At 33.3% G+C, this 9,502-nt stretch overlaps 1 annotated feature.

The window, feature by feature from the left end:
• Window positions 7,731-8,285: an enhancer, noted in NCBI's record as "OCT4-NANOG hESC enhancer chr2:35324348-35324902 (GRCh37/hg19 assembly coordinates)". NCBI's record gives its function as "activates a minimal SCP1, AML or CMV promoter by ChIP-STARR-seq in naive H9 embryonic stem cells {active_cell/tissue: H9 hESC(naive)}" and the evidence as "EXISTENCE:reporter gene assay evidence [ECO:0000049][PMID:30033119]".

Genomic DNA, 9,502 nt, shown 5'->3' on the forward strand with positions numbered 1-9,502 from the left:
TTCTGTCTATAATATTTTCTTAATCTTTTCTATATTTTTTATTGTTTTGTATATTCCCCCATTTTAAAATGAGCATACATTTACATTTCCTTTATACTCAGAAATACATTAACATTGTACCAATGTACTCAAAACATTTCAGCAGTAATGCTTGAAACAATTACCTACAATTTATTTAATATCTGCATAGGATAATAATTTCCAGAATATTTATTGGTTTTACTCAAGGTGAGATATAATAAAAATAACATCGGCTTGGGAAACCAATCTACGTGACCTTGGACTAATCACTTGACTTCAGAGCATTTTTGCAACTTAAAAGCCCAGATTAGCAACACTTAGTTGCCGCAGTTTTTGTGAGATTTAAATAAAAAAAGTTAATATGAAAAATTGTAATGAACAATGTTTATTTTATAGTAGGTGGCTAGGAAGAAAAATGGTAAACTCTAAAATTGATTATTTTTTGAAAAGTTATGGATCCTCAGAGTTCTTTTTTTCTTGTGTTTTCTATGAAATGTCAAATTTTTACAGACAGACTATTTGAATTTTAATAGGTTCTACTCTGCCCCTGCCAACCCTCTATCATCCACTTCCTTCCAAAAATTGATTTTATTGTGGCCTAGATGTAAATGAATAGTTGTAAAGTATGTCCTAAATTTCTAGCAACCTGCAGGGCTCAGGCAGTTTGAATATTTTCAAGCAAGTATTTCTTATCAAAAATTCCTTGAAACATAATAAGACTGTGATTCCTGGCCAAACTCGTGAGCCAGGAAATTAAATCACTATTCTGAATGTCATTGTAGTGGTAGACTTGCTTGTAAGGTGCCTGCAGTAAACAGTTATCCTTAGAAGCTAATTGAAATATTCTTGTGAGAAGGGAGGCTATCAATTGCTGAGAATTATTGGAAAGATTGTATCTAAATATAAAATAGTATAAAAGCAAGTTGAAATTCTGCCTGGTACAATTGATACTTTAAAAGTAGATATGGCTCCTGAGTGAATCAGTCCTCATTATTTGAACAATTTCTCTGTTCTGAGTCTGAGCAAATATTATGATGTAGAAATTGGGATGGAAGCCAGAGAACTCTGAAAAGTTGAAAGCTTGGCTCCCATTCCTAGAATAATATCCACTGAAATAAAGTAAGCCCTTGCCAGCAAGACTAAAGAACATTCAAGCAGATTAACAGTCACAATCAACACACACACACACACACACACACACACACACACACACCTATCATATTAGACTATTGATAACATAAAGAGTCTCTTTGAACTAGTGAGATTGAAGGCAGGTTAGAAATAGGAAATGAGGTTCCAATGCTGTCACCTCTAGAAGCTCAGAAAAGCAGAACTGGTAGTAAGACATACAAGGACACCAAGGACAGTCTTTGAACTCTCTTGAAAGGTATTCAAGCTGTTGGGACTTGATCTGGCTTTGTCTGATAAGATTGAGGATAGTTTCCCTAACAATGGAAAACCACTGTAGGATTTTAACCATGATTTTCCTGAAGTGACTATTTTCAAGTAGATACATATATATACAAAAGTTTTTAGAAATATAATGGTAGAAGTTTAGGGTATAATGACTTAATTTACATAGAGATTAAGACAACTAAAAGTTAGATGCAGTAGTCAAGATTTGCAAGGCCCATGTTTGTAAAACCCTCCTTTAAGAACAAACATTAAGAAAGTGACATTCTTGAAGAAGTAAGGTGGTATCTCACCGTGGTTTTAATTTGCATTACCCTGATAGTTAGTGACGTTGAGCATCTTTTCATATGTTTCTCGACAGTTTGTTTATCTTTTTTTGAGAATTGTCCATTCGGTATGGAGACTCCTTAAAGAACTAAAAGTAGAAATACCATCCAATCCAGTGATCTCGCTACTGGTTATCTACGCAAAGGAAAATAAGTCATTAAATGAACAATGTACTTGCACATGCATGTTTTTAGCAGCAAAATTCACAATTGCAAAAATATGGAACCAGCCTAAACATCCAACAACTAACAAGTGGATAAAGAAAATATGGTATATGTATCCATGGAATTCTACTCAGCCATAAAAAGGAACAAAATAATGGCATTTGCAGAAACCTGGATGGAATTGGAGACCATTATTCTAAGTGAAGTAACTCAGGAATGGAAAACCAAATACCCTATGTTCTCACTTATAAGTGAGAGCTAAGCTATGAGGATGCAAAGACATAAAAATGATATAATAGACTTTGGGGACTCGGCAGGGAAGGGTGAGAGGAGGGTGAGAAATAAAAGGCTACACATTGGGTACAGTGTACACTGCTCAAGTGACGGGTGCACCAAAATCTCAGAAATCACCACTAAAGAATTTATCCATGTAACCAAAAACCACCTGTTCCCCAAAAACTATTGAAATGAAATATAATAAAAAAGAAAGTGCCAGTTGTAAAAATTAAAGGATATGTTAACATTTGACATTTTGAATTCCAAAGCAGATTTTGAGAATAAAAATACAAATACAGTGGTTAAGGTTTTTCTATACAATTGTGGAAAAAAATGTGATTTGAAAATAACTCAGTAAACAAGCGCGTTTGTCAAAATATCATGGAAGCATTTACCTAATTATATATATTGCTATCATTGCATACTTTGACAGTACTTTGGGTGGAGGATGTTATTTAAGTCAAAAATACAAAAAAAAAAAATAATTTGACCACTCATAAACAGTTTGTGGAAATATATCAAAACCTTTTTTTGCATATTGGCACAAATTAAATAAAACTTGTATATAAATGTTCTTTCTTTATATCTAACATCACATTATATTATAAACAATTTCCATGTCATTACATTTTTGCAAACATCATTGAGTAACTAGATAATATTTTGTATTGCATGGATATAACATAATTCATTTTTTCACTTGGAAATTTCACTATCATAATAAAAATTAAACAAACATCTTCTACATAAATATTTGCCGGAAATTATTTTTAGATTTATCTCCAGAAAAATAACTGTCTCTAAGGTTATGAAACCTTTTGTATGTTTTGATTTATACTGTAAAATTCCCTATTAAAAGTATATAGATTTACATTCTCAATTGTATGGTAAGAATATGTTCTTTATAAGCACTTACTATTTAATACCGAATATTATAATTTTTTAAAGTTATTATTTTTCTTAGTGTCACTTTATTTGCCAATACCTTGATGATTAGTGATATTGAGCATTTATTTTTCATACATTTATTAAGCATGTATTAGCAGGGTGTCTTAGTTGTTCAGGTTCCTATACAGAGTACCATAGACTGGGTGGCTTATAAACAACAGAAATTTATTTCCCACAGTTCTGGAGGCTGAGAAGTCCAAGATCAAAGTTCCAACAGATGTGTTGTCTGTTGAGGGCTCACTTCATAGATGGCTGTCTTTTTTCTTTGTCTTCACATGGCAGAAGGGGCAAGGAGTTCTCAGGAATATCTTTCATAGTGGCACTAGTCACAATCATGGGGACTCCACTCTCATAACCTAATTATCTCCCAAAGGCCCCACCTCTACATGCTATCACATTGAGAATGATATATCAACATAAGAATTTTGGGGGAACACAAATATTTAGTCTATCACACAAAACAGTAATTCAGATCAAAGTAATCGTTCAGTTATCCATGCAGGGCAAGATCTAAGTCAGGTTGGCATTGCACAGCCAGCCACTTCGTACTGGCACAGAATATTGGGTGAGAATCCTACCAGATTAAGGTGATATCTCATCCTAGTGACAAGAGAAAGGCTGAGCTTGCAAGTCAAGGATTCGTGACCTCACCTGTATAGGAAGACACAGGATGCAGAATGTGGGAAACCAAGCCATCACTGGAAAAAGGCCAAACATGCATTTGAATTTGTGTTTATTCAAATTATCTGATCTGTTGACTAGTCAATAAGTATTTATATTTACATATAAAATATTTATTTTAATACTTATATTAAATCAGATAGGTTAAGCTATAACTTATCTGATGGATAAATATGCCACATCTTGGCACCCTAGCAGATTAGAGTATGCACACAATTATAGTTCGTAAAAAAATTATCCCCTTTGGGCAAAGGAATCTGCTTTCATATTAGTTTAGGAAATGCCACACTTTCCGCTTTCCTCTTGGAAATTTGCATTGCTCACTAAAGTATTAAACATTCTGAGAAATATTACAGTAAAATAACTGTTTAATTTTAATCCAGCATTTACAGAATGTATTGTCAATTTTGTGTGGCGAGTTTGTTAGTATGTAACATCTATTCACCTCCACTAAGACTGATACTCTTTACAAAACATTTTTTAAAAGCTGATAAAATAAATTAAAATATCAGATTTTAGAGCTATTTAGAAATAGGTTTATGTCCTCATGCTGCCACCCATGAATTATATAACTTACCTAAAATCTCTTGGATGATTACTTAATTTTTCTGGAAATTCATTTTCTTATCTAGAAAATTGAAATTAATAATATAATAATTGATACACAGGACTTGTGTTAAATTAGCAAACCATATATCTATATATTATGAAACATAGAATGTTAATCAAATTTTATTATTATTATTAATATAGATGTCTTTTAAGATATTCAATTTTTAACTGGAAAATCAAAATCAGTTTTTTATATAAATAGGCCTTTTGTGCTAATTTATACACTTAGCATTGTGTATGGGAAGCTTGGTATTTTGAAGTAAACACCCAGTGCCAGACATAGTCTTTTACTTTTTATCATCCATTTGAATTTAAAATATTGGCTTACAAGAAGATGTCTACCATATTTAGGAGGAAAAAAAGTTTTAACATTATTATAAATTAATTGAATAATTTAAAAGTGCATGTATTTTTCACACATTAAAAAACCAACTAAAATGGTCATTTCGTAGTATTCCTGTGACATAAGTAATTCACTAGATTGTCCAGGTTTTCTCCTATGAAGTAAAAAACATGAATTCTACATATATAATATTTACTCTGGGACACTTTAGCTTCTTTATATTTAAAATATGCAAAAAAGATGACTGTGTGTATACGTATATCATATTATAGACATGCCCTTGAAAATTTAGAGGCTTTAAAGATAGATGAGAGTACTAATACCACTTCATTGCTCTATGCATATTTTTGGGAAAACAACAAAATGGCCAATAATAGCTGGGAAAAAAAGGCATAGGCACCATGTATTATTCATGCACACACAAATTCTTGTATTGAATTACATGTACTCATATTTCATTACTTTTCATCGTGCTAGAAATTCAAATTAATCATGATGCCTTTCAGCTGCTCTTGATGACAACAAAAGTCCCTGAGCATTTCTCTCCCTTGAGGCAAAAGAAGGTGAAACTCATTTGCATTGAAAAATACCATTACCTCTAAAATTTAATATTGCTTTTAACTCTCTCCAGCGTTTGGGTGGTTAGCTATGAAATTATGCCTGCTTTATAATTATTTAATTTCAGTCCATAATGAAAAGTGATTATAGAATAGCCAAAGGCTGATATAGTAAGTAGCTCTCAGAACACTTTTTGTTTTCTTCTTTTTTACCATTTTATAGAATTTATATTGAATGAGTTACAGAATATTCCAAAGAATCTCCCTTCTTTTTCAAGACCAGATAACACTACCTTTACAAAGTATATTTGAATTTTTGCATACACTTTGGTTAGTTCTAGAGACAATTGTGATTGGTATTGAATTTTAGTGAAATAGATGAACACATATTGCTCTGGGTTTATTTGATTAGTTAGACTGTGTAGATAAAATGTAAAATTTTATGAATTAAAATATTCATAAATGTCTTCCTTAATCAGAATACTTAATTTTAATAATAGAAACACCCTGCTTCAAACAGATTGAGAGAAAACTCCCAGAAATATAATTTAGAGCAAATAATTTATTAAATGTTCGATGTGGCCAAGAGTATTGTTTCTAATGGTAGAACATCATATCTACTTACGTTGAGAAATTTCTTAGGCACTTTCCTCAGCCTTTGCCCTCTCCACATGACTTGCCTCAAGCAGACTTCTTAAAATCCATATCTTTTTGGCCACAGACTTGAAATCCACATATTCACCCTCACTGGACATGTCCTCTTGAGCATGTTCCAAAAGAGACTCTTTATATTCCTTTTACTGTGTCCTCTGTGTCACTTCCAATTTCTGCTAATATTGCCAAAGGTTATTTTTTTTAAAGATATGTTATGAATAACCCCCTAAAATAACTTGCAGAGATGGTTTAAAAAAAGTAATGAGCCCCATTTCACTCTATGGAATATAATTTTCTCTGACAGCAACTGTGGGACTCTACTCTCTAAACCAGTGCCTAAGTCTTCCTTATGCACAATTTTGAAAATCATCACACTATATTGAACTAGCTACACATCAGCATCTCTCCTTCTCTTGGAATTCAGGACTGTTAGAACTGTTTTCCAAACTGTAGCTGTCGTCTGTATAACTTCAAATCCAATGTGCAGAATAATTTAAAGCCATTACATGGGGATTACTGGGCCAGAAAATATGAAGAGAAATGTTTTCTATATCTGTGAATTGCCTGCCAAAACAGTGCTAACAATACTTTCAAAATTAATAATATTTAATAAGATATGTGTACTCTATGGTATTTTAAACTCAATGTAATAATTTACTCTTTTTATTTAAATTGCAGCTATTTATATTAAATAATATTATATAAACTAGAAAATGTATATTACTTAAATTTTTATCCTCAACACTGGGTAATGTCTAGCATTCTGTTTCCTATTATATAAAATTACTCAAACTTGTACTTATTTAGAACTGTGTACAAAGGATTGAAAAATTATCATTGCCAGGCTTCCTCTATTAGTATTGAAGAGAACATAAAAAGCATACAGAAGCCTTCATCACCAGCTGTTCATTTAAACAATAACCTCCACGTAGCCACATATCCTGTGTGGATGAAAATGTGCTTTTCATAAGAGGAAATGCTAGTCTCCTGTTCCCCTCTCCCCTCAGACATCTTCTTTCCAAATATCTTACCAGTGCAGGGGAATTGAAAACAAAACAAAACACAAAAACCTTCTTCTGAACCAATGTCTAGAAAGTTTAAAGTCTGTTTTATCAGAGACTAGGATTGCAACCCCTGCTTTTTATTGTTTTCCATTTGCTTGGTAGATCTTCCTCCATCCCTTTATTTTGAGCCTTTGTGTGTCTCTGCACGTGAGATGGGTCTCCTGATACGGTTACTCTCTGCTGTTATTTGTCTTAAGCTGTGAATGAATCTTACACCGTTAATAGCAATAAAATTTCTTATCTAGAGGACAGAATTAGTTTAAGTAATTTAAAACTCAGATTTTTCTCTTTATAAAATGCAGTTACCTGCAATTCATGATAGGCTATTTATGTATCATTGTTGCTCAAACAGTGGATATTTAGTGAGTGCATCTTGTATATCATGCCTTGTATTGAAATAATACGTCATATGAAGTGAGGTTTACACAAGGCCTTAGAGTTAATCTCATTTAGTTTTTTAATATAACAAAAGGAAAACATCATATCACAGACAATCTTTGTCTTTAAGCTTACTGGGTACATTTCAGCAGGCTGCTGGGATGGGAAACAGCTAGAATTTGAATGAAGTAATAGCAGGGCAAGCTGTAGGACTTCCCTTGAGAAAATTAAACAGATTGGCCATTGAAAGTTACTTTCATCCTCTTGTTGATACAGAAAGAGGCCCATGGTCATGGCTAGGATGAGAAAGCAGCATTTCTTTTTTCCCCAACTTTTATTTTAAGTTCAGGGGTACACGTGCAGGATGTGCAGGTTTGTTACATAGGTAAACATATGCCTTGGTGGTTTGGTACACAGATCATCCCATCACCTAGGTATTAAGCTCAGCATCCTTAGTTGTTCTTCCTGACACTCTCCCTCCTCCCACCTCCCACCCTCCTACAGGCCCCAGTGTGTGTTATTTCTTGATAATGACAGTACTTGAGCACTGTGTGGCAGCATTGTGATTCTATATAAGTAATACTCTCTGGGAACAGGGCACTCATCAGGGGCTGCGAACCTGGGGAGAAGGATCATGGCAAGGTCATGGGGATCAGAAATAAAGATAGAAGAAACTCCAGTAAAATTCCCTAAAGTAGTTGACATCTGAATAAAGGACATGGAGTGGAGTTTACATGACATCCCCATAAAGGTAAGAATGAGGAGGAAATGGGGCTTGGTGAACATCTAGAATCCAGGGCCGACTGGAGACTCTCTGTGAGACTCTCTGTATATCTGACTTTCTTAATTCCAGTCAGAAATTATTGGTAGGAATAAACCTACGAGAACTTAGGTGGGCTGATTTTGTAGCACAAACTATCAGTATCTACAGATGATGCAGATGCAGCAAACCAATGAAACCCATAGAAAGAAAACAATTTCTCCAAGGTCATGAAGCAGGTCAGTGACTAATTTAGGGACAAATCCCAGATCTTTAAATTTTAGGATCATAATGATTAAACTATTAAACTAAATCTCTAGTCTTTTAATTGGGAGGATAGGGGAAAACACAAATGTTAGTTATGAAGGTAAGTCGAATGAAGAATCAGGTCACATTGTTCGTTCAGTAACACAGTAAAGAAAGAAAATATAGAAATTCCATGATAAACTGTTTCCATAGCTGTCTTCTGTCCACCCTGCTCTGCTTATCTCACATTTAGGGTAGAACAATCTAAAATGCAATAATGTCAGGTAGACTCATCCTATGTATTTGCCAAATGTTTGTTTCTCTCAGAAATCATTTTTTAAAGTACTTCTTTTGAAGCCTGATGCTCCTGAAAATTATTGTGGACAGTATCTTAGGAAGATTAAAACAATAGAAAGGGCATTTATGTGAATATAAATAATAAACTATGTGCAGTTTTACAAGCCAGGCTAAAATTACAAGGGTCATCAATCCTTGTGTTTCAAAGCATAAAATGATAACCAGCTGGAGTTAGGAAAAAATTTTCCCCTGAGGTGTAATATTGAACAATTGGACAGGTGCTTTATAAAAGGTAATTTTTTTTCTGGCCTTCCACTGAAGCACCTAGTTTAGGTCTTTATAAAATGCCAGTCTAACGGGCCATTGATCTTTTCAGCAAATGCAATTTGCTGGAATCTCGCTTTTCCAGAAGTAATCAATAAGAATCTTAAACCCATGTTGAAAAAAATAAAACCATACAAGTGATTTACTAGAAAACCATTTAGAAAAGAGATAGGCAATATTGAAACTTAATGATCCTATAGTCACCAAAAAACAATAAAAGAATGATCATGTTATATATGAAAGTGCATTTATAGTGATAACATTGGAAACATTTATACCTCTATGTACAACATCATTCACGGAAGAAATGAGTTTACTTAGACTTACAGGTGTGGAAATGTGCCTGTATGAAAATTCCAGCATGTTTGATATAACTCACACCTATTTGAAATGAAAACAAAACAGCTTTTGAGTTTACTATTTAGAATCATTCTGAG

The sequence above is a fragment of the Homo sapiens genome, chromosome 2 (genome assembly GCF_000001405.40).
Source record: "Homo sapiens chromosome 2, GRCh38.p14 Primary Assembly".
Taxonomy (NCBI): Eukaryota; Metazoa; Chordata; class Mammalia; order Primates; family Hominidae; genus Homo; species Homo sapiens.